General features: G+C 48.4%; 1 protein-coding gene across 1 annotated transcript in view, besides 4 other annotated features; it reads right to left on the bottom strand.

The window, feature by feature from the left end:
* Nucleotides 1-25,957, bottom strand: part of MGMT (O-6-methylguanine-DNA methyltransferase) — a 303,743-nt gene that overhangs the window by 215,011 nt on the left and 62,775 nt on the right. Inside the window, exon 2 of the mRNA NM_002412.5 lies at nt 19,596-19,732. Coding sequence (NP_002403.3) covers nt 19,596-19,720 — 125 coding nt within the window. The 5' untranslated portion in view covers nt 19,721-19,732. The remainder of the gene's footprint in view (nt 1-19,595; nt 19,733-25,957) is intronic.
* Nucleotides 3,858-3,937: an enhancer, noted in NCBI's record as "active region_4203". NCBI's record gives its function as "activates an Ori minimal core promoter by ATAC-STARR-seq in GM12878 lymphoblastoid cells {active_cell/tissue: GM12878}" and the evidence as "EXISTENCE:reporter gene assay evidence [ECO:0000049][PMID:35858748]".
* Nucleotides 9,193-9,692: an enhancer, noted in NCBI's record as "H3K4me1 hESC enhancer chr10:131344545-131345044 (GRCh37/hg19 assembly coordinates)". NCBI's record gives its function as "activates a minimal SCP1, AML or CMV promoter by ChIP-STARR-seq in naive H9 embryonic stem cells {active_cell/tissue: H9 hESC(naive)}" and the evidence as "EXISTENCE:reporter gene assay evidence [ECO:0000049][PMID:30033119]".
* Nucleotides 23,115-23,959: an enhancer, noted in NCBI's record as "H3K27ac-H3K4me1 hESC enhancer chr10:131330278-131331122 (GRCh37/hg19 assembly coordinates)". NCBI's record gives its function as "activates a minimal SCP1, AML or CMV promoter by ChIP-STARR-seq in primed H9 embryonic stem cells {active_cell/tissue: H9 hESC(primed)}" and the evidence as "EXISTENCE:reporter gene assay evidence [ECO:0000049][PMID:30033119]".
* Nucleotides 23,960-24,804: an enhancer, noted in NCBI's record as "H3K27ac-H3K4me1 hESC enhancer chr10:131329433-131330277 (GRCh37/hg19 assembly coordinates)". NCBI's record gives its function as "activates a minimal SCP1, AML or CMV promoter by ChIP-STARR-seq in naive H9 embryonic stem cells {active_cell/tissue: H9 hESC(naive)}" and the evidence as "EXISTENCE:reporter gene assay evidence [ECO:0000049][PMID:30033119]".

Raw genomic sequence — 25,957 nt, 5'->3', positions numbered from 1 at the left:
TGAGGAGGTCCAGCCAGCGCTCAGTTCTCCGAATGCCTGCAGGGTTCCCGCTGGCCCTAGAGAGTCCCAGTGGGAGTGAGAAACTGGGTAAAGAACATTCAGGACTCTGACGGAGTTGCCGAAAATAAAACTTGGAATTCGTGCTACTTTTCACCTCCCATCTCTATAATCACACCATTCTTTGTTAAGAGCACATATATTCCACTCTTCTAACCCTTCACTTACAGGATCTTTATTTTTTATTTTATTTTTTTTTTAGAGACAGGGTCTCACTCTGTTGCCCAGGCTGCAGTGCAGTGGCATAATCACAGCTCACTGCAGCTCTGAACTCCTGGGCTCAAGCGGTCCTCCCGCCTCAGCCTCCTGAGTAGCTGACACTGCAGACGCCTTCCACCAGGCCTGGATAATTTTTTTTTTTTAAGTTTTTTTGTAGAGACAGAATCTATGTTGCCCAGGCTGTTCTCAAACTCCTGGCCTCAAGTGAGTCTCTTGCCTTGGCCTCCCAAAGTGCTGGGATTACAGGTGTGAGCCACCACGCCCGGCCTATGGATCTTTACAATTTCTTGAGTGCCCCCTGGGCTAGGCCCTGTGAGGGGTACTAAGGCCAGCAAGATAGACATGGTCCCTGTTCTCCAGGACTCACAGCAGACAGCACGGCACGGAAGGAGAACAGCGCTCGGGCAGAGCGGGCTCAAAGTGCTGGACAGGCTCAGGCAAGGGATCTGAAGCAAGCCTGGGAGTGCGAGGGCTCCCGGCTCAAAGACAGGGACATCTAAGGAGGCCTATGAAATATGTGGGCAGCGGGTAGGGCAGGGTGGAGGTGGCTGCTGAGCACGCAGGGGCGACCTTAGGAAGTGGTAGAAATAGCACCATCGTCATCCTCATCAACGGCAGCAGTTGCCATTTATTGAGTGCTTACTATGGGGTGGCGTTGTTCTAAGAGTTTCCTGCTGGTCAGCTCATTTAATTGTCCAACAATCTATGTGGTTAGATGCTATTATAGTCCCCATGTGTGATACCTGGGGAAACTGAGGCATGGAGTGAAGTGATTTGTCCACTTTATAGCTGTAAAGTAGAGGAGTTAGGAATCTCGCTCCGGAGACAGCGTTCACACCACACAATGTCACTTCTGAGCTATGGGCCACTGGGTAATAATGCCAGGAAGTACAGGCTGGCATACCTGCTGTTCAGAGTGAAGGGTCTAAGTACAAGAACGGAGGGGCTAGGAAAACACAGAGCTAATGCTTTCTTATCTTAAAAACAGTGAGGAGTCACTTAGGGTCACATTTGATTTCAGAAGCCAACCTGCAATACAGAAAGGGGTGTTACAGACAAAAAAGCTACAGGGAGAAAGGCCAAAAAGCAAGCTTGCTCAGGAAGCACTCACCCAGGGCTACATAGTGTTCATCGAGACTGTTTACTGCAGCCCAGTAAACAGAAACAAAAACATAGAGGTTCACCAGGACATAGACAGTTAAAATACCACCACGTACAACCACGCAACAGGCCTTAACAAAGAACCAAGCACAGACCTTGAAAAATCATGCTTAAAAAGATGTCAGAACAAGAAAAATGCTTAAGATATAAAATTAAGTAGAATTCAAAACTGATTTTAAATATGTCGATGAAAACAAAAAAAAAGCTAGAAGGAATTACACCAAAAGACTATCACTGATTAATGGAACTGATTCTTATTTCCTTTGTACTTTCTGTATTTGCTAAAAGGAGCATCAAGTCCCCAGATGGCGTATGACCCGTCATCACCTGCGTGCTGCTCACGGCTGCAGTGTGTGATGAGGATGCACATCAGGTCACAGAATAGGTGTTCAGAGGCGGCCTGGCCGGCCACAGGGCCAGCAGGTGCCCAGCTCTCCCCATCTTTCTCATTGGCAGCACGCCACCTTTCAGCCCCAGTCCCACGCCCTCATGGTCACATAACAGCTGCCCAGCTCCCTCCTGCAATCACATTCACACAACTGTGTCCGCAGACTGGGGAGCCGGGAGAGTCTTCCTCATGCTGCTCTTTGTATCAGGGGAGAAACGTCTTCCCCAGGAGCCTGCCAGTAGGCCTACGCTTCTCACACATACCCGCTCAGTGAGGCAGAGAGAGCTGGCACCTGCACTCAGCCTTTCCAGCGGGAGACAGAAAGAAGGAATGGAGGCCACGTTTGGGGCAGGCAGGCAACAAGACCCCTGGCCTCCTCCCTGTGAAAGTGACCCTGATGCTCCACTGGTCTTCAATGCCTTTTGTGTATTTCTACCACTCTCTCCTTGTGCCTCCAGGACTGATCTGCCACCATCTCTGTCTCCCGCAGTAGACAAAGCTCCTTGAGGCCAGGTTGTGGTTTCTCGTCATTCCGTCAGCATGGTGCCACACACGAGACACAGAAAGCTCCATCAGCGTTTGCTGAAAAGAGTTCTCATTTTAATTCATTCCTTTGTTGAACGTACTCAACAAAAATGGACCACGTGTCCCCCGGGCCCACAGGTTCACATGCGCTGGTGAACAGATGCAAAAACCACTGCTCGCAAGGTGCTGGGGGCCAGAGAGGGTCACCTCACTCCAAGGCACCTGCGTCCAGGAATTCTGCCTGCTCCTAAGTCTACTTCAGCAGCCAGGGTTTCCTTTGCACCACAATGAATAAAAGTCACGCAGAAATCTGACTTTGTGAAAATGATACATCTATCTCACTTCACTTCAACATAATGTAATATCACTAATATTAATAATTCTACCTCTAGAAATTATACTAGTCTCCCAAAGAAAGAGTCCTTGACCCAAAATATCAGAGGATATTAAACTGAGAAATGATCTACTGATGCAAATCATTAAATCTATTTGCATTTGCTTACTGAACCCTATCGCAGAAATTAAACTCCATGCGGTGGGAAGCTGGCTGCGCATGGTTAAGAGGAGACATCGTGGTGGATCCAAGCTCTATGTCATTAATTTTCCCACTTTCCCTCATTAACAAGTAAAATGTTTTTACTGCTTGAAAAGTTTTAATAAATAGAAAAAAGCAAGGCAGCTGACATAGTTTTTCATGTAATATACAAGGGCTTTTAATATTTTTACATACATTAATGAAAAAGCCAGGAAAAAAACGTTAAAAGGTGACACACGTGGGGAAAAACAAAAAGAGCAGGCTTCAGAAAAGGACGGACTGCTTGCACTTCCGTGCCCTTGACTCTGGCAGCTGTGCCCAGTCCTCACGGACATCAGCAGAAGGGGACCGCGTGGCCCTGCCCTCGGCCAGCCTCTCCCTGCCATCAGTAGCCCCGAAGTCTCAGGAACTCGGGCAAGGCAGTCTTTCACCGCTGGCCAAACATGTCTCCCGCTAACCAGACGATGTGCCTGCGATGCAGAATTCTCCACCAAGACCAAAGCGATGAACTGACACCGGTACAGGGACAAACTATGAGGCTCAGTCCTCATGGAGAAATCACACACTCACGTGAACATGTACTTAATTTAGCTAAAGACTCAGAATTCTGTGACATTGAAGGCTTTGAAGGCCACAAACCCACGTCTGTGGCAATTTCCACTGTCACTGACCTCTGGGGTGCAGGAGGCCCAGGCCCGGGGGCACACAGGTCTGCACAGAGTCATCCTCCTGGATGACCACCTGGGCATGCAGCGTCATGGTGACGCAGCTCAAGCCACAGAGGGCCCCACCGGGTGTGCACTGCCAGCAGCTGGAGCGCCACAGTCACGGCCCAGTGGTTCCCATGTGGGGAGCCTGCCCCTCCCACATGTTCAGGAAACGGGGCGCTCGGCCATGAGCGGGTGGGCGGCTGTGGCCTCCCCTCCTGTCTGCGGCCCCACTGGCCTTCCTCTCAGCAGGTCCCCCTTAGTGGGTCAGTTTCCACAGTTAAAACAATCACCTATTTTTTGGCCCATAACCATGAGAGGAGAGCTGTCCTTTGGTTCTTCTTATCCTGGTCCCATGACTGCCAAGCTTCTGATCATTATCCCACAGACAGAGCCTGAGCCCCACTTCCGGCAAGCCTGGGCTGAACATGCCAGCAAGGAGCCTGCCCACACCCTGGGGACTCGCCTTTGGTACTCAGCGTGGTTTCTGTGGCCTGGGGTCACTCTTGGACAGCGAGGGGTGCCCTTCCCAGGCGAGCGCAGGCCAGGCACAGGAGGCTATGCCTGACCCCTCTGGCTTTCTCTAAGGCATGTTCCACCGGTCTGCTGAAGAGTTTCTGGTGCTGGTTTGATATTTTGGTTTTGATCACTGCACCCAGTGGTGGGGTCTGGTAAATAAATAAATAAGAGAGTAAGGAAAGACTACAATGTCAGTACAGGTGAAAATACCTCGGAGAAACTTACAGAGATAGAATATCAGTGTAGAAGACACTGATCCTTGAAACTATGCAAAAATCATCAAAAAATAAAGAGCAACCCAGATCTACCTCGAGTTGTCAGACTGGGGATGAGGGCTCCCGGGGGCAGCTGCAAGCATGGGGGGCCTGCTTCCTGAGGGTGCCCTGGCCTGCGGCAGCTGATGCTCTTCCTGAAGTCACCTCTCCATCCCTCCCTCTGCCCCACCTATCATCCCCGGGGCCTTCTGTCTTTCCTGCCTGCAACTCTCCTACCTATCTATTAACCTTCCTCCACCTTCTCTCGAAAGTCCAATCACACCATAAAGGAGATGGTGACAAGGTACAAAAAGCCAAATGGTTAACCCAGCATCATTTAAATGCTCATTAATGTAAAAACAGTGCCTTTCTTCAGAGCATCTCTCTCCCTCACAGTGCACTTTGCATGTACTTGGGTCCTGTTTTTACTAAAGATACCTCCCCACATTTGTGTAGAATGTTCTATTTCTTTGAATTCCTTCCCACTGATCATCAACATCTGTCCACCCTGGTGCTGCAGCTGCCCTGCACCTCTGGGCCTCGGGTTTCTGATAGGGAACGGGGCTGGGACAGGGTAGACCCAGGGCCCTACCCGAAATGGCTCCATGTCCTGACGAAGAAGTGCCCAGAGGCCCACCTGCCCTCCAGGCCGAAACAGCACTACCAACGTTGGCAGAGGGTTCTGGTCTCAGGGGTCTTTGGACACTCCTTCTCTTGACTTGGAGGAACCCACACAAGGTGTGTTAGCATCAAGACGGAAAGGAGTAGGGTGGGTGCCAGGGGATGGGCTGGCAGAAATGGGGAGTTAGTGTTTAATGGGTACGGGTTTCAGTTCTGCAAGACAGAAAAGTTCTGGAGATGAAGCCAGGCACGGTGGCTCACGCCTGTAATCCCAGGACTTTGGGAGACTAAGGAAGGTGGATCACCTGAGGTCAGGAGATCGAGACCATCCTGGCAACACGGTGAAACCCCATCTCTACTAAAAATACAAAAATTAGCTGGGCGTGGTGGCGTGCACCTGTAATCCCAGCTACTTGGGGGGCTGAGGCGCGAGAATCACTTGAACCTGGGAGATGGAGGTTGCAGTGAGCCGAGATCGCACCACTGTACTCCAGCCTAGGTGACAGAGCGAGATTAAGTCTCAAAAAAAAAAAAAAAAGAATCAAAACACAGAAACATTCCAGTGCTGGGTGGTGGTGATGGCTGCGGAACACTGTGAAACATTCCGGTGCTGGGTGGCGGTGGTGGCTGCGGAACACTGTGAAACATGCCGGTGCTGGGCGGCGGTGGTGGCTGCGGAACACTGTGAAACATGCCGGTGCTGGGTGGCGGTGATGGCTGCGGAACACTGTGAAACATGCCAGTGCTGGGCGGCGGTGATGGCTGCGGAACATTGTGAACCCCCTAAAGTTGCTGCACTGTGCACTCACAGATGGCACCAACTAATGTCGCTCAACTGTACGTTCACAAATGGCAGATGCAGGAAACCTTAAGTGACATATTTTTATCACAAGAAACAGTGTAGTTGGGTCAAAACAACATTTATTATACAGGCAGAAGGGATTTCTCCTTCCTTAGCTAAAACTTTGTGATTTTACTGTCCTGAGTGGGTAACCAACCACCGAAATAAACAGAAGCCCTGGCCCTACTTATCATCCAGAGGATATGATGACAATTTCTCTGTAATTTATACCTCTGCTCCTCCATATCAGACAAATAAACTGTAAATGGATTTTAAAAAGAGAAAATATAATACATATTTTCATTTTGTCAATTCAAACAATCCCCGTAACGCTTTGGGCTGAGTGCAGCAGACGCCCTTTAAAATGGACCTCTCCTCTGAGCTTCCAGCAGCGGCCGTGATTCTTTTAAATTCACCACCAAAGTCATACTCGGACAAAAAATTTTATCATCTCTAGACTGCTTAACCAGCAAAACTGTTCCAGCTTGCAAACACAGATGACGCTTCATGCAAGCAAACTAATTTGCTTGGACACAATTTGTCAAAAAGAAAAGAGAAAGAGAAGAAAACTCCTATTGACATGTTAGGCTAAAGTGACTTTAAGAGTTTGTAATAATAGATGCAGATGGGGACCCCACATTAGGAACATTTTATTGCTTATATTTTAAATTCAGGAACTTCATAAATCCTGAACATTCTTCTCGCCCTCAGATATTAAGGCTAAAAATGCAACTATAAAGTTGTTTGTCAATTTCTTCTCCAGAAGCCAGTTTACTGCTGACGGTACTATGTCTAAGCACACGGATCTGCAGGCAATAAAAATCTGGAGGGCTCTTGAAAACTCTGATGCAAAAAACGAGAGGATATCACATGATTAATTATGCCTTTAATATGAGATTCCAGGAGATGGTCTGCTACAGTTAGGGGAGAAAAGCTGCAAAACTGAAGAAGAACTGAAGGAAATGGATCAACCATTCTGAGGGAGGAACCTCATCCTTATTCCAACACGGTGTCTCCAACAGGCACCAAGGAGACAGGCACTGATGTCAACGTGCTGAAATCCATCCACACACTCACATTTCTTTCCTTCAACATATTTGCCAAACTTAGTAAGTAAATGAATTCTAACAAAGAAGCCAGCTATTTATGACATCAATTATAGAAAATGCCACCACAGGGTAACTTCTAGAGACCCAAGGTCAGGCCGCGCCCCATTCTTGGTGCTCACACCTCCAGCCCATCTTCACGCCTTCCAGGATCCTGCAGGGCCTGGACCTGGAGGACCAGCCTGGCCTGACCAGGCTCTCTGCCTCCTCCCCTGGCCTGGTCTCCTGGGTCTCTTTGCCCTGATGGTCCTTGCACTTATTTGCGTTCATGTCAAATCTGCCTCCCCAGCACCCCCCCGAAAGCTGCAGGTGGGACTGACGCCTCTCCCCACTGCCCCCAGCACCCTGCACGGCCCACAGGCAAAGCAGACGCCAGGCTGCCTGCAGGACCAGCCAACAAGGGGGCTTTCAGCACCGCTTCTTGTGAGAAGGGTGTCACGGTCTCAAAATATTATTTTCAATAAAAGTTTTGTTTACCTAGAGAAGATTTAAACACACCAAAAACTTTGAAGGAAATGAGTGGCCCAGTTTTCTTTTTAATAAAAGCAGTGCTGGGTTGTACAATAACTCTTCCAAACAGAGCCACTGAAAAGGATAAAATAAAGATCAGAAAGCTCAGTATTTTTCCAGGTGATTTTTAGAAAAGAAAAACCACTATTTGGAGGAGGCTACTTTTGGGGTATCTGTAATAATTCAGAAGAATGATAAACAGTTTCTTTTTCCCTAGTTTCAGGAGCATATATTTTTAGTGGCAAGAATATTAAAGAAATAGGACAGAAATTTCTAGAATGTCTTATAATGTACATATACAAACACCTACTTACACACACCATTTTTCTATTTGAGAGACGAACAAGGGAAAGAGTCAGCATACCCCAAGCCTTGTATTTTCCTACTATAATGGGTTAAGTCTTAAAAACATGTTTGTCCTTATAATTGCAACCTAGCAAATTGAATACAGTTTATATTCCACTTTTAGCTTGTCTAAACACCCTGGCAGAAAACTCTGTGGCTAGAATGTGCATACTTCACATACAAAAAGCCCTTGCCTGGCGACCTTGTGCCAACCTTCGGCTGACGAGAGACCTCACCGGACGACACATCAGCTTCTTGGGAACAAGAACAAGTATTGCCTCCCATAGCTGTGCTCTCAGCCCAGTCCTTCTCCAGCCCCACCTGACCAGTGCAGATCTGTTTAGAAGATGCCTCTAGAATGAGCAGAAGGCTTGCTTCAGCAGCTGAAGGCTAACATTGCTGTTCTGCCAGAAGCCATGAACACTCCCCAGTGTTACTCGAAGAGAATGCAGAGACAGAGCATTTCCTAATGCTTCACCTGCCCCAGCCAACCAAGGACGGGAGGATAGCTTTCTGGAAGAAGGCACAGGAAAAGCAGCTTTGAAAGCAGTAATGTGGATTCCATCAAGAACAATCACTGCAAGAAAACGGTAATCCCCTGCCCCACCCAGCCCCCAGCACACACTATGAGCTTGTATTCTGCCAATGGACACCAGAAATTAAAGTAGCTGCCAGGCCGGCAGAAGGACCAATGTTCTCCAGAACCACTCCATGAATCTGCAGGTGTACTGAAGTCATACAGTCCATAAGCCTTTCTACTTTTAAATATTTGCATGTGTGTGTTTTGTGCATGTGGATCAGATGGGGTACAGGAGGAAAGGGGGGAGGTGAGTCTCCTGCCGATGTGTATGGACAGAGGGACTAGGGTTCTCAGAGGTCCTCAGTGAAACTAGAGATGACCCTGTACGAGAAGAGGTGGGTTAACGCCCCCAGCAGGATGAACAGACAGATACAGTGAAATCAAGACACAGGACGTTATGGAACAAAGCTAGAACTCTTCTCTCAACTGCCTTTGAGTTGTAACTATGATTTCAGTTCTATTTAGAGAGCATGGCCCAGTCTAGAGGGAAACTGAACAAACGTCCTTGTCAGAAGAACACTAAGAATTCTGCAGTGTGATAAACTGTGTTTCTGCGGAGGATATTCTCTCCCTCCTGTCCACCCCAACCCTGACACAGAGCTCCAAGAACAAATCTAGAACTTGGGGTGTTTGGGGTGAAGGAGACTCACCTCTGGCTCTGTGTCCCCACTGAGCCACCCCCACGTTCTATTTGATTCAGTTTGTTTTGTGATGGAACCATTTCCAGTTCAGGCATATGCTGAGCAAACAGCATTTAGCTGGCATCCCGAAGTCAAACTAATCAAACACAGCATGTCAGTCTCAAAGCAGACCAGGTACCAAGGAATTCTTACGTTCAGGGCCTGAAGAAGATCTGACGTCAGTGTTCCACCCTCTGTGCTCTGCCATGGAGAGGAGAGATGCTCCTCTCCGGGGAGCTCTGGGCAATCCTGACACAAAACCCGCCTCTCTCCTTCCAGCCTCCTGGCTCCATTCTCTCTCTGGTCCTTCTTGGTTTTCCTTCAGTCTCCATTGGTAGCTCTTCATGGCCACCCACTTGTTAAACTGTTCCTCCAGGTCTTTTATTTCTTTTCCTGAGGTTATTCTTTGCTCACCTCTCCCCTAGCCCTGGGAGGAAGCACCACCCCGTCAGATGCCCAAGAGGGGGCTCGCAGCCTCTTAACTGCCTCCTTCTGCTACCCCTCCATGCCCCTACATCCTGTCAGCAGCCAGGGCCTCCTGGTTCACCACCCAGTGATGTCCTAACTCGGTCAGCCCCATTCAGCTCTGTGGCCAGTCACCTAGGCTTGGGCCCCTGCCAGCCGCTGTCTTGAGGAATTCACCAATCTCAAGGTGTGGAACAGCCCACTTCCCCGTCTGCCCCTGTCTGCCCCTGAGCTGGGCTTGGGCTGCAGGTGGGGCTGCACATTCTGGCCCCTCCCCACCCCATGCAGGGCCTGCCATCTGGTCTGACACGGAGCAGGGCACTCACACGTTTAGAGAATGAGCGAGTAAATGACAGAAGCTCACTGAATCCTAAATGTATTCACAATGTTTTTATCGCAAAAAGACCCACTTCCGTCACTTGTACAGCAACTGGAAATAAAAATTCTGGATGAATTTGCCACAAGACAATGCTTCAGTTCAATTCAAAAATTAAACTCATTTAACCTTTAACTCAATTTAAATTCTGAACTGATCAGCACGCAAGAGCTACCCTGTACATTAATATCAAGGAGCTGATCTAATTACTGATAAAATTTTACATTTAACAAACCAAGTATATTGTGAGAGTTTAGAGCTTAAATGACATGAACACTTTTAAAACAAAACTGAAAACTATTCATTAGTTGCAGCCAGTTTAAATATCAGAAAATCTTACAGATATAGGAAGAATAAAAAAGCATTCCAGAAATCAAATTCCAGAGTATGAGAGGTGTGTGTTGGTGGTCGTAGAGGCCAGACGGTTGTGCTTTTGCAAAAGCAGAGGGAGGCTGGCCCGAGATGCAATGGCATCCTGAGGATGGCATCCACAGACGTGGCCCTGGGTAACTGCCACCACCATTTTTGTTTCATCTCAGCTTTTTCTCCTCTAAAACAGCACATCACCGTCCAAGGAGCTCTAATACCAGCACGTATGCGAGCTCATGTCGTAACTTTACAATGACTCATGTGTACAGTAGGCGAGTGATATCACGAGGACAAATCCAGTGCTGAGCCTGAACTTCCAAATCCAACATTACCTGGAGGACACTCTATTTTTAAGACACTGGCACTCAGGCCCCCAGGACAATACTGACTTGAGTTCCCACTGACCAAATCCCAATCAGGATGGTCTCAGAGGCTCCCTCAACTGCAGGCAAGAGTCACAGAGGATTTCACAGGAGAACAGAAGTCACTCCCAGAGTGGCAGTCTCTACTGCAAGTTCAGCTAAGTAGAGGGAATACCCACTTCTTCCCTGAAGTCTTCCCCAGGACTTGTAACCCACCATCCCTCACCCCATCTCCATTTCTCTTATTGGTAAACGCACATTGATGCCAACAACTTCACAGAGGGGTCCCAAGGACGAAGTGCAGTGACGGAAGGACACCTCCTCCCACCAGGCCAGACAGACGAAGCAGGGGCTATTCCACAGGTGCCAGTCCCTCCGAGTCCTCACTTCCTTGACATCTGCCTGACCCCTGGCCACGCCGCCTCTTCTGGGAGAAACAGAGACTCCAGGAGGAAACAGAAATGGGCTCTGAGATGTTTCTGTGGGATACTGTCAGAAATCCCACACTTGGCGTTTCTCACAGGGGTTCATTGAACCTTATTTCCCATACAATGTGGACAAGCCTGTTCACCAGCTTTTCAAGACCACAACTAATTAGAAGCACCAAACTGCAATGAGGCGAGGGGACCGAGAGGCAGGCAATGCAAGCCCAGCGCAGACACAGGGCCTGGGGCCGGGGGCAGGGGTCCACAGGGCCAGACTCTCTGCAACAGAGGCTGATCAGCAGGAGGGGCGTGGCCCACCCACGCAACAGGGTAGTGAGGGCCAGGACCCAACTCCACAGGGCACCAGGGCCATCGAGAAAGGACACTGTCATCTTACCCAATCCCATCAGGGATGGCTGTTGCAAGATTATGAATCCTAGACAGGATACTGTGCACGGGGCTACACCCAAACCCCCACAAGCCTCTAAGCTGGGCCCAAGGCCATGCTGGGGCTTCCTGAGGGTGAAAGCCGCAGTCTGAAGACAACCTGGAAATACCAGGGATTTGAGCCAAGAAGTGACCTTCCTGAAACCTGAACAGACGCCGATGCTGGCTGTGGCGGCAACGTGCCTATCCGGTGGCTGCCACTTCCGGGATCTTTCCTCCCCTGGCCTGCACAGCATACAATGTAATTCTAGATGAGAACTGGATTGTGCCAAGGTTCCATGTTTCCTCCTCATGAAAACAGGGAAAGGATCTCTGTGGCCACATAAAGGAGAGAGGGGCATGATCTCCCCAGAAAAGCTGCCCTCCCTTCACAAACAGAGCCGAACAGAGGTGAAGCCCAATGACTCTTAAATGGAAACTTATTGTTAAGAGCAGGGGATTTAAGGGGTTTTATTTTAACATACCAGAGAGGCAGAAACATCCACCTCTCTCTGCCTGAAGTTAACCCATTTACCTGTTACTCTAAAGTGCTCTTTTACTCCAAATGTTGGAAACTTAAAAAATCTTTTGCTCTGACACTTTGGATCATATTCTGAACTCACCTATTTGTAGCTGTCATTCAACCATTCTTTTCTTCCTTCCAAGAAGTTCCTGGCAGACTTAAAATTAAATGAAATGAACAAGTTTGCTTCTGACTCACAGACACAGGCACACACGTTTGCCATCTCTGTCTCCTTGTAACACAGTTACAAAATTGACAGAAATAAAACTTTTGCATTGCTTTTTTTTTTCTTAGATGAGTCCAGCACATAAGGACCCTAAATCTCAGTGACACTTGTTTAAATACTATCCACCTGGCTGCCACCACTGTCTACTCTGCCCCCAGGTCAGCAAAGAACCAGCTGCAGGGAGAAAACATCAAGAGCACCGAAGCTGGTGAGGTTGCGCATTGTTTAGGTTTGATTTTCTAGATCAGAAACCATACAACAATTTCACAGTGAATCCCAGAACCTCGCTCTTCTGTGGCGAGGCAGCTCTGTCCTGGGGTGGATGGGCCAGTGCTCCACAGCCTGGGATTCTCCGCAGTGCTGTAGAGAGGAGCTCTGACCTGCCCTTTCAGCTGCCAATCAGAGGAGCACAGCAAACCTCATCATTCACGACTTGGAAGGCTCAGCCTGCAGAGCCCGTCTCCTATCACACAACGGCAGGGTTTTCACGCCATACCCTCACTTAAAAGCATATGTTATGCTGCTTCCCTTTATTTTACTAAGGTCCAAGAGCTGCCACCATCACGGGCTACGCTAACACCTCTGCAGGCCCCATGTGCAGCACTGTGTGTCCGGGGGCCAGCAGTCGGCCCCCATCGTACCCTCTCGTCACGGAACATAATTCATCACAAGGATCTGTGGAGCTGAAAAGAAACACCTTGGCTTCCTGTCTTGTCTTTTTAGCCATCAACCTGAAAGACGAGGCCATTGTCTGGCTTCTAAAGGACACTGCACTATAAATGTTTAGCATGGGGTGAAGTATATGCACAATTTGTGTTATTGATAACATAAGTCACAAGAGGAACTCCCTATCCACCACTGATCATTTACCCCTCTCAGGCAGAAACGGGAGGCAACATCCGTCAGCGTGGACAGGCCTCACCGACATGGAATCGCAGAGCCAGCAGGGGCAAGAACAAGGGGTTCCAGGCTCGCCAGGGCATTCAGCCATTCGTTTTTGAAAAACAGACGATTTCTATAAAGCCAAGGAGCGCCTGGCAAGTTTTCCTCACAGAAACATGCTTATTTGACTCAAGAGACCTCCTTAAGGAACACTCTATAAAGTAAAATAATCACATTTTTTAAGCACATACAACACAAATCATTATTTCACGGCACTGAGGAAAAGCAATGAGACAGCCGAACTTGCCGCAGGTAAAAGTCCTACAGAGCGCGTTTTTTTGGATGTTATTTTTACTGGCAGTGCTTCTCTAAGTGTTTGTCCTTAAGAACAGTTTCTTCTCCTCCTTGAAAGATCAATTATAGTAACGTGAATGCGGCAAGTGTCTGTATTAATTTCCCAATCTGTCAGAAAAAAACGAATTCGTGAAGTTCCCAGGAAGGTTCTCATGGCCCGTGGACCTTGAGGAACCATCCGACTGGCACTGGTCAGACCGACCTGCACGGAGAGGCCGTGGGGATAACTGGCAGCACAGACTCGGCAGGTGCACATACCAAGCCAGCCGGGACCCCATGCACGGCTGAGGGTCGACTGAGTTCCTGAACACATTTAGAGATGAGCAGGAGAGAGGCAAAACGCAGGTCACCTCCTGCTGCAGCTGCCCTTCGGGAAGCTCAAAGGCATCTTCACGCTTTCCATGGGGCACGTTTCGAGGGCAGAAACTCATAGGGCATCCAATGACATCAGACAACTCTCCTCCCAGGTTCAACACAGAGGCCCGGCAGGATACGTTCTCACGTTCCAGAGGGTCTAGGGTCAGGCCAGCCTAGCTGGTGACTGAAGGCCCTATCTGTCCAGCCAGCCAGGTGCTCAGAAGAGGGTCAGGGCCAACCTGCATGCCCCACCCAGCCTCAATCCAAGGGCTGGCTGGGCCAGATGCCAAAAGCAGACCCACAAACCCTGTAAATGGATCCCTACCATGAAGACAGAAAAAGAGCCTCTGCAGTAGAAGACAGTCTGTGTGTAGTCCCCACATTTTCCAAAATACAAAAAGTTTTAAAGTGGTTTAGTTCAATTGGACTCTATCAGCTTTTCCTATATTTTTCTGAAAAGGCTTATGTGAAAAAAATAAAAGAATGAAAAACAAGGGTAAGCCCTTGGTAAGTGAAAGATGAGCCCCCTTAGCTCCCCAGCTTCCAAGATCTACAAGTCCTACTGCTACTATTTTTGTAATCTAAGTATGACCCAGGGTGATACGGTCCATTTTTTCAAGTAATCAAATACGGCAATCAACATTATGGAAAACTAAACAAGCCCCAAAATAACATTAGAAAAGTAAACACATACAGCCTGGCCCCTCTCATTAGACTGTGGGCACTGCAGGGAATCTGACGAGGTCAGAGCTCTGCAGCTGCGGGAAGATGGCGCGGGGGAGCTGCTCCGCTCTTGCAGAGGCCAAGTGCTCCTGGACGTGATGGCATTCACAGAAACCTGATACTGTCAGGCAGTTATGAAACTAACTTAAAAGCAGCTTATGTTGCTTCCCTTTTGGAAAATATACCACTTTCCCAACTGATGTGCTTCTCACACGTTTTTAGGGAGGGAAAGGTAACTATGCAAGGAAGTCATTGGTCCCCGTGCGAAGCCACACACAGGTAAGTGGATTCACCTGGGGAGCGGGAATCACACTTTGTACACAAGCACAGATGCAATGTCACTGAAGAAGGCCCAGTGGTCAACCTGTAATTTATCTACTAAAGAAACACCCATTCAGAGGAAGCAAGGACCACCCTGGGACTCATAGGCACTCGGAGAAGGGTGAGGGCAGGGGCCAGAGCCAGCAGGATGCTGCCCCAAATCCCAGCAGCCACTGTCACTCAGCAACCAGAGGACAGCAGCCACACAGAGCACAGATGGCTCCAGGTGGGAGCACCCCGAGATGAGGGAAGGCAGCACCCAATTCTACTAAACCAGGAAGCTTCACAAAAGGCTTCTGACACCAGACCCAGATGGCATCCAAGGTGCATTCATCCCAAAATTTGGAGATAAAGTAATATCAATCCAACACTTAACTCTTTCAGAAAATAGAAGAGGGAATGCTTCCAAATTGATCTGTCATCAGAATGAGACTAATTCCAAAACAAGACAAAGACAGTACCAAAAAAAGAAAAGTATACACCTGGTTTAAAATTCTAAAAATTTATTCTACCAAATTTAAAGAATAAAGGAGCAAGAGCACATGACTATGTCAACACATACATGAAATATCATTTGACAAAAATTCCACACAGTGAGGAAGACGCCTCTGAAACCCAACATGGGGAGCAAGTCCTCACTGGTGAAATCCTGCAAGCTCCCCCAAACCAGGAAACAGGGAAGGACGTCTGTTGTCACCACACTTACTGAAGTCATCCTGGAGGGTTCTGGACAGCTCAATAGAAGAAATTAAAGCATAACAATCAGAAAGGAAGAAGCCTATTGTCTTTATTCATAGACATCATGAATTTTTATACAGAATCCTAAGCAATCTCAAAACAACCCTGGAAAAAATACATGAATTAAGTCAAGATCCCAGAATATAAGATCAACATACAAGTCAGTTGTTAAACACAAGCAGCAATAAATTAAAAGGTTAAAAAGTTTCAACCTAATTTAGAATACCATCAAGAACAAAGTATTTAGAAATGGAGTCTGCCAGATAAGCAAAGCCTCCAGGCTGAAAAACCACTCAACGCTGCCGAGGACAATGAAAGAACCCAAACAAATGCAGACGCCAGTCAAAGCCAAGAACTGAACACTTCAGTATCAAGATGTCAACCCTCCCAAAATTGACAACCAGGTTCAATGAACTCCCAGTCGAAATCCAAAAAAGAATCATTGCAGAAATTTACACCTGAATTCTAAAAGTAATAGGCAAACTTAAGAGACATAGAAGCCAAACCTTTCAAAAATAAATAAATTTAGAGGATTCATGGACTCACATTACCTAGCATCAAGATGTATCACAGGCCGGGCGCGGTGGCTCACGCCTGTAATCCCAGCACTTTGGGAGGCCGAGGTGGGTGGATCACGAGGTCAGGAGATGGAGACCATCCTGGCTAACACAGTGAAACCCTGTCTCTACTAAATATACAAAAATTTAGCCGGGCGTGGCAGCAGGCGCCTGTAGTCTCAGCTACTCGGGAGGCTGAGGCAGGAGAATGGCGTGAACCCAGGAGGCACAGCTTGCAGTGAGTCGAGATCACACCACTGCACTCCAGCCTGGGCGACAGAGCAAGACTCCGTCTCAAAACAAAACAAAACAAAACAAAAGATGTATCACAAAGCTACCTAACCAAGCCAGCATGGAACGGGCATAGAACAGGCAAAGGTAGGCTGAACCAAACAGAGCAAAACAGGAACAGGCTCACACACCCTTGGTCAACTGATGGTAATTCAATGAAGAAAGGAGACAATTTTTATTTTCCAACAAATGATGCTAAAACAACTAAATAGCTACAGGGAAAAAATAAACTCTGTACCTCACAAAAAGGTAATTCAAAATGGATCACATATATCTAAACATAAAAAAAACTACAAAGCTTTTAAAAGAAATTACGGGAGAATTTATTTCAGACATTACAGTAGACAAATATTTCTTACAGGGAACACAAAAAGTGTTAAACATAAAGGGAAAAAAAGACATATGGACTTGTTCAAAATTTAAAACCTCTACTCATCAAAAGACACTATTGGAAAAACAAAAAAGCAGGCCTCCAACTTGTGAGAAAATCATCACAATACAGACATCTGACAAAAGTCTTACATCCAGAACCACAAATCAATAACATCAACAAAAACACAAACAAGAAACCTCTAATTTTAAAATGAGCAAAAGGTGGCCAGGCGCAGTGGCTCACGCCTGTAATCCCAGTACTTTGGGAGGCCGAGGCAGGCAGATCACAAGGTCAGGAGTTAGAGACCAGCCTGACCAACATGGTGAAACCCTGTCTCTACTAAAAATACAAAAATTAGCCAGGTGTGGCGGTGCGTGCCTGTAATCCCAGCTACTCCAGAGGCTGAGGCAGGAGAATTGCTTGAACCCAGGAGGCGGAGGTTGCAGTGAGCCGAGATTGCACCACTGCACTCCAGCCTAGGTGACAGAGCAAGCCTCCATCTCAAAGAAATAAAAAAAAAAAATGGGCAAAAGACTTGAGTAGATATTTCACAAAGAAAACATAGGAATGGCCAAGACTTCATCAGGATAAGTCATCAGCAAAGTGCAAATTAGAACCACAATGAGATATACTTCATACCAGCCAGAATGGCTAAAATCTGAAAAACTGACACCACCAAGTGCTGCCAAGAACGTGGAGTAACTGAAACTCACACACTGCTAGTGGAAATTCCATCCCGCTCTGAAGAAAGTTTTGGCAATTTCTTGTCAAGTTAAACATACATTTGCCATCCAGCCCAGCAATTCCACACTCAGGAATTTACTCTGGAGAAATGGAAACAAAAATTCACAAAGAGGACTAACTTTAGGGGGCACAAGGGAATTTTCTGGAATGTTCCATATCTTGAATGTTCTATATCTTCGGCGGTAGTTATACGGTTGTACACTTTTGTCAAATGAATTGTACACTTGAAATCTGACTTCTATGTAATTTTTACCTAAATTTTAAAAATGATAAAATGTTAAACTTAATTGACTATTCATATACTTTTATATACTATTCTCAAACTTTTAAATGCTCCCCCCACTAAAATTAACTACACACAAATACTGCTGGCTGCCCCCCAAATCCCACTCCTTCCTTACTCACAAGACACCTAATTTTAGCCCATATATGACACGCCCTCCTTTCTTTCTCCCCTACCTGTGGCAGAGGCCCAGGAGCTGTCTTGAAGCACCAGGGCAGGGACCACCATCTGGAGACCCCAAGCTCAGAGGAGCCCAAGTTCCCAGGGGCCATGAAGGCACCAGCCCCAGCTCCCATGGTTTGTCCACAGGTGTGTTTTCATGAGAGCAATCAGCCAGATCCTATTCAGGATTTAGCATTATTTCACGGCTGTTTTTACACCTGAACCTGATCCTAACTTGATTCAGAAAGTTCATAAAGTAGAAATTCAAAATTAAGCGTCTTCATCCTATTTGCCTAATCCACAATGGGCATTTAACTAAACATATCTTATAATGTTTGTTTTGTTTTGTTTTCCTTTTTCTTCCCCAAATTCACTTTGTACCTTTTTCCCAAAAGAAAAAAAAAACCAACACATAATTTCTATGATTTATTGTGCAACTGAACATGCTAAAAGACAAAATGACATTTTCCCCTACAAATTATTTGGTGCCTGTGACTTTCTGAACACTACAGCCAGATGGTTCTCATAGAAACTGAAAAGAGTATATTCACATGGTTCAAAGGTTTGCTTATTTTTTGGTCTCAAAAAGACTATATTGATTGTAACGTGCAGCTCTACAGGAAAAATCTCGACAGCGGAGGCGAGTGCTGATATTTATGACTGCGCTTGTGCTCATTATGGCTGTCTCGGACAGGGGCCCATTAAAATCAATTTTTATGTTTCTTATGTATTTTCTTTATCTAATGTTCTTGGCATTGTGTTTATTAGCCAGTTAAGAGAAACACCAAGCATAGGAGTGGGTGTTTTTTTTTTCTTCTTCTTCTTTGGTCAGAAATAACAAGAGCTACAATTTTAATAGAATGAACGGAGGAAATTAAATGTTACATTTCAAAGCAAAACACTAAGGAATGCTTTACATTTCTTACGTTTTTGCAATTAGAGAAATATAGTGGGAGCTGTTCACAAAAAGAGAAACATGTACGCTCTTAGAAATGACAAGAACTTAAAGTCATGCTGAAAAGGGGCTTTCGGGCCCTTCCCCCTGGCAGGGCCATCCTCAGCCACACCCTCGCCAAGGGTCTGACCACGGCTCTCAAAAGGCAACTGGGACTCCTGGTTAAGGGATTCCAGAACATCAAGCAGTCCTAGTATGAAACTCACCTGGCAGACTCTGGAGGAACAGGGAACGCTGATCTGGGCTTTTTTTTTTAATCAAGATTAATCCTGCATCTCCCTGTCTCTAAATTTCCAGAGACATATGCCGAAGAACCCAAATGTTCAATGCTCATCACCAACCAACTCCTCTGTAAACGTACACCTTAATCAAACATCTTAGAGCTACTAATGAAAGGGTATGAAGGGAACGGCCCTGGGTTCATCGGAGGTGGAGAGCTCCTGGGCAACACACAGGGAAGCTGCAAATGCAGGAGCCGTCGCAGCACACTGTTTTGAGAGACGGACTCGTGGTTGCGGTTGTGGGGGTAAGGCTATGCGTTACCCTGCCATCAATGGAAAACATGCCGTTATCACATATACTCCTCGGTTGCTTCAGCATGTGCGGTATACAGGATCACGTGGGCTCATACTTACTCAGCTGCAGACGTCCCCTTGCCCAGGAGCTTTATTTCGTGCAGACCCTGCTCACAACCAGACAGCTCCAGCTTCCCCAAAGGGCTGTCCAGTGTGGTGCGTTTCATTTCACAATCCTTGTCCATTTTTCCAAGTACCTAAACAGAAATAATTTTTAAGACAAAGTGTATAGGTAAGAGGCTGGTCGTATATAAAACACACAACAGAAGTACTGGTTATTTAAGACACAAAATATATTCCAAAGCTCTTCCTCATTTTTGGAATTATACGATGCATCATTTTCACAATATGATTACTCTGAAGACAGAAAATTACCACCATTACCTAGAGCAGCCAACCAATACTACAGTCTCCTTTTATTTCCTAAAATTACTGTATCCCGATTCTTCTCGTTTATCTTTAACCAACGCAACACCGAAGGAAGCTGACCTGGTAAGAGCTCCTTTTAAATAATTCCCACAACTAAGCTAACTTTGTTTTACTAAAACAATTAATAAAACAACTACCACAGACAATAAATCCCGAAGACAAACTGTTCAATATTTGGAATAAAGTACATTTTAGAATGAAGCATGTATGCAATGACTTACAAAAACAGAGATTCAACTCAGCACCTATGCCACGGCACCTGTGTTAGGAGCCAGCCCGGAGAGGATGAGCAATGCTGGGGTGTTCCACTAATGCTGTGGAAAGCACATTTAATTTACATTTAAAGAGATGTACAAGTCTGGGTGCAGTGGCTCATGCCTGTAATCCCAGCACTTTGGAAGGCTGAGACAGGAAGATCACTTGAACTCAGGAGTTGAAACCAGACTGGGCAACGTAGCAAGACCCTGCCCCAAAAGAATTAAAATTAGCTGGGTATGATAGCACACACCTGTAGTTCCAGCTGCTCAGGAGGCTGAAGAATAGAGCCTGGGGAATACAGGGGAACACATCTATAGGCTACCTTTACACTTGTACATTTCTTTCTTTTTTTTTAGAGACGAGGTCTTGCTCTGCCACCCAGGCTGGAGAGCAGCGGTGCAATCCTAGCTCACTGCAGTCTTGAACTCCTGGGCTCTAGCGATCCTCCCTCTTCAGCCTCCTTAGGCACTGGGTCTTGCTATTTTACCTCTGTCCTCCCATTGCCACAGCTTCTCAGGAAGACCCACAGCAGCTCGTGGCTACTCAAGGAAGGCCATCCTCACGGCTCCCATCACACCTGGGCTCTTTCCACTCCAACCCAACCATCAGCCCTCAAAGTTCACTGAGAACAACAAAGCAAAGGCTCCCTACATCAAGGGGCTGGAGCAGGGGCAACAAATTAGAGCCTGTGGGGCAAAGCTCACTCACTGCACCTGTCTTTGTAAATAAAGTTTTATTGAGACACAATTGTGTTCATTTATTTACACACAATCTCCTGCTGCTTCCGTGCTACAGTGGCAGAGGTGAGCAGTTGTGACAGAGGCAGTGTGGCCCTGCAAGCGCAGAACACTGACTCTCTGGCCCTCTACAGAAAAGGCCTGCGGACCCCTGGAACCCTCTACAGAAAGGTCTGCTGACCCCTGGAAGGGCAGCTCACTGGCACCTTCCTGCTCTGTTCCCACAATGAAGCAGGTCTGAATCCCACATGCATCCCAAATCTCTGCGCCTTCACTGAAGGCCCCCTCCCTGCTTGTCCGCTGGGCACCTTGCTGCCTGGTCTCCTATCCTGTGAAACCCTTCACCAGCACTCCAGCTGATCTTTCCTTTCTGTGTCTTACATATGCTTCTAAGGCCACTCTTTGGTTCTCTCATCTGTCTTTCCAAGAACGAGGAGAGAGAGGTGCATTTATGTCCCTTAAAGGGACCAGGGTCGGGCAGCGGACCGCAAACTACACAAGTGTTTTGTAGAAGCATTACTCTCAAGATTCAATCCTCAACTGTCACACTCCAGAGCCGCCTGCAAAACCTCCCCTTTTCTGTGCAGACTGACAGGGATTTGAACCGGATCCCATTCGATCACCCCAGAATATGGAAATGGGATGTGCCAGAAACCATGCCCCATCACAGAGGCTCTGCCCACATCACACTCCTTCAACATCTCACCCTGCAGCCTCCCTGCTGCCTCAAGGGTAAAAACCAGGCTTCCCGAGAGGGCAAAGAGAGCCCTGTGGAAGGAGCCACCTGCCTTCCACTTACCATGTGGCAGGGGCCAGATAAAGGCAGGGGGTGCAAATCACGGCCTCCCACCCTCTGTCCCTTTGCTGTGAGAAAATCACTCTTGGTGCTTCAACTGTCTTTGTCTGTAGGATAAATCAGACCAAATCACAACGTCGGCACGAGTTTAGAGGGAACGTATGCAAAGACCAGGCTTCCCAAAGGCTCTGTAGGATTTGGGGATCACTACTGTTCCCACCATGATCAACATTTTAGCCCAACCCCCTTCACCTCTGATCTTATCCCCTGGAGTACGCTGCCCCAACTCCCCCAAGTCTCATTCAAATCATCACCATCCCGCCCATTCTTCCAAAGTGACTGCCTCCCCTTCTCCCATCTCCATTTCTCAGAGCCACAATCTTGGCCCACAGCCTCCGCCCTGCGCCTGCAGACATCTCCCACCATCCCGGGCCACTGCTTCTCAGGCAGGATGCTGGCAGCTCTGCTCAGGGCTCCCTGAAGAACAGCACACATCACACACACAAGGGGCTCATAAAATACTTGTGGAACTGAATTACCAGTGTGACCACCATCCAGGCCAAGCGTCCATGAGATCATTTCCCAAAGTATGTTCACAGAAGATACTGGTCAGACAACAGGGCTCTAGAGGCAACGTGAGAAATCTGGATGCTCTCTCGCCATTTCTTGGAAACTCGCCCTGCACGATGGTGGGTCAAAGCTCCCAGCAGACTGGCAGTAAACAGCCCAGCTTGGGTTTCGCTCTCCATGGAGCCATGTTTGCTGCTCTATCATCCCAGTTCGGGCAGGGCTGCAGGCTGTCGGAGTCAGGAGGCCTGGGCTCAGGGCTCCAGACTCAGGTGGGGATCCTGGCCAGCCCCGAGCACCTGCATCAGGTAGCACTCTTAACAGCAGGTGTCAGAAACTGACACGGGCTAATTTAAGCACAAATGCCGTTTACTGAAAGGCTACTCCACAACTCAAAGAACTTCTGGGAAGGCTGGAGGAGCAGGCTCAGAAAATAGCAGGAACCAGAACTGGCCACGCTCCAATCACAGCCAAAATCAAGCTTCAGGAAACATCTGTGGGGCAACCAGGCACAGCAGGCAGGGCAGCTGGCACTGTTGCCACCATTGCCCCTGGAAACAGGATGTGGTGGCTATGGCCACCGTTGATTCTCGGCTGCTCTGCCTCCGTGGGACCTGCTCCCGATTCGAGTCCCAGGCAGGAGCCCAGCCCTGGTGCTGACGCCTGCCAACATGTGCCAGTGTCCGAGCAGCTGCAGGAAGGGACGGCCTGGGAGAGGAAGGGTTTGCCCACATCAGCGCCTGAAGCTGCACTGCAGACATTCGGACTGGGGAGTGCCCCATGTGGGGGCTGGTCAGACACTAGCTGCGCACTCCTCTCTCAAGCCTCTATTTCCTCATCAATAAGACCCCTGACTCCTCTACCTGACAGTGCCACTCTGAGGGTCTAACCTGAGATGGCCACGGCCAGGGCTTTGGGCACTACACACCGTGACGGGCTGGAAGGGCTGTCACGCCATTCTGCACAGACCACACCTCGAGTTCACCCCCAATCCAAGCGTCAGCCAAAGGGGAAGACATTGGAGTGTGCAGAGACAGGGCCAGGGAGAAAGGTAGGAGCCTTGGAAGGCCACTGGGGGTGAATCCCAGCAAGCTGAAGTAGGGGCATGGGGGATGGGGTGTCCCCCACCCGGAGGAAGGAGCAGGGCGGTGGAGGGCCACAGGCAGCTTAGCCCCGACAGTCTCCCGGAGAGAGGAGTCCTCAAGGTTATCATGGTCTGGGCCCTGACCACAAGAAGCCAAACTTGGGAGGCCAGCGGTTGGGAATGCGGTGGAGAAGGCTTCCAGCCAAACCTGGTGTGGCCAAGTGAACTGCCTGCCCTGGAATGACCAACTCTGCACCCCAGAGAGCACCGCCACCCAGGAAATGCCCAAGGACCCCAGCTGCTGGCCCAAGGGACCCTAAAGCTCTGGCATATCCCCGACTGAGCCCTGTGGTGCTATCCCCATGACCAGCATCATGGCATGGGCCTCTCATCCAAAGGGCAGGCTGGCCTCAAGCCCTCTGAACCAGCTCCCCTGACCAGCAAAGGTGGCCTGAAGCCATGGGAACACACTGAATCAATCACAAAGCAGGGAGCTGGGGGGACCAGGTGAGCTCCATCCAAATCATTCCAAGAACCGAAAAAAGGCAACCAGTTTATAACTGCAACAATGAATGAGTTCAGAATCTGGCTTACAAATGAGCAACAGATTCCAGCTCCTGTCCATATCCAACTGGCTAATTATTTAGGTATGTGAAGCATGAGGAAGTGAATTCCTCAGACCTGCTTACAACCTAAATAGGATCAAAATAAAGCCCTGCCTCATTTCACCTGAACACAACAATGAGCTGGAACCCACCCCCACAAACCCCCACCCCCCCCCACCCCCACCAGCCCCCGCTAAGAGCAAGCCTCCCACAAAGGCCCACAGAAATGGAATTTGATATGCCACTGAAACCTGCATACTACCTTTTTTTCCGGTAGACAACCAGAGCATTTGGCACAGTTCTTCTGTGGGCAGCAGTAGAAGTTAGTTTAGTGCCGATTCCTAAAATGCAATGGCTGAGGCCTCTACAGGACAGAAGCCCCAGGCCACCGAGCACGGCAGCGTCTCTGATGCGATGCCCAGGGCTGACCTAGCAGGTGTGCACACCGGGCGAGCAGAGAGGTGGGGGGATGCCTGCAGACTAAATGAGGGCATCACGGACACCAGGAGGGACCCACAAAAGGCAGAAATCAGGCAGTGAGAAAAGTGAGTTTCAATAGCATGAAAACCTGACAGGAGTGAAACCATCGCAACCCAGCCAGGCGGAGGCTCAACTTAGAAGCCACAATACCAGCCACACAAAGGCTGGCACAGTGGTGGCCTGGACAGGTCACAAGCAGCCATGAGGGTAACAGACCCTCTCCCAACAGCCCGCACAGTAATACCGCCATGCCCCAGACCCAGGAAGAAAGACGTCTGACTCCAGTGATGAGACCCCATCAGGATCTTCACCAATGCCCAACAACCTCAAGAGAGGGCCATTCAACGGGGGAGGCCAGACCCACAGCCCCAGGAGGGACGCTGGGAAGGGGACTGGCCCACGGAAGATGAAGATTCACTGTGACCCCTGCAACCCTGACAGCACCCCAGCCTGAGCCCAGAGCCAGCAGGCAAGCCCACACCCAGGCTAGCACGAGGTGGGCAGAGTGGCGGTTAGGGAACCACTCCGCAGGGCTGGGGCCACACTTCGGGGGGAGAGTGTGGGCAGCTGAGAGCTTATGGAGAAACTGACACCTACACAGAGAACTGAACTATGGGGAGGGGCCCCCGGGCGAGGAGCCACGCAGGCCAGGGTGAAGGCACCCGCCACGAGAGCTGGGGGATGAGGCCTGGTGTGCCTGGAGAGGCGTGGGGGACACAGCCACCCTCGGGCCCTGAGGCCGCCATGGCCAGGCCGGTCCTGCTGGCTGCCTTTTCCCTGAAAAGCCACAGAGTTTTCAACAAGAGGAGATGCAGCTGGTTTGCATTTCGAGGCTCCCTCTGGCAGCTCTGTCAAGACTGGTCCAGAACCAAGGTCGATTGTGGAAATAACCCACTGAGAAGTGAGGAGAAACCCAACCAGGGGAGAAGCAAAAGGGAGACAAAATAACGGGAAACAAACCAGGAACGATCAAGAGACGTTTAACCAATGCCTTAGCACCCCTACACAGGAGCTACTGGGCTAAGGTGCCAGAAACTGGAAGGAGACAAATGTGATCTCCTGGGGGGAGAAAAATTACCCACAAAAAGTAAACCACACCATACGTTGCTTGCAACTTTTCCAAAAATCTAAGATTATTCCAAAATCAGTTTATTTTTAAAAAATCAAATAAGGTAGGATGATTTAAACTATTCCTTTTTTATCTGCATTCTCTCAGCTTTCTACAGTTAGTACGAGTCAACTTTTCAAGGAGAAAAAAACTGTATTAATATCCAATCTGGGCCAGTCATGGTGGCTCACACCCGTAATCCCAGAACTTTGGCAGGCCGAGGCAGGAGGATCACTTCAGCCCACGAGTTCAAGACCAGTCTGGGCAATGTGGCGAAACCCCAGCTCTACTAAAAAACATAAAAACATTAGCCAGGCTGGTGGCATGTGCCTGTAGTTCCAGCTACTCGGGAGGCTGA

Source organism: Homo sapiens, chromosome 10, assembly GCF_000001405.40.
Source record: "Homo sapiens chromosome 10, GRCh38.p14 Primary Assembly".
NCBI classification, from domain to species: domain Eukaryota; kingdom Metazoa; phylum Chordata; class Mammalia; order Primates; family Hominidae; genus Homo; species Homo sapiens.
This window is presented reverse-complemented; position numbering and strand designations above follow the sequence as displayed.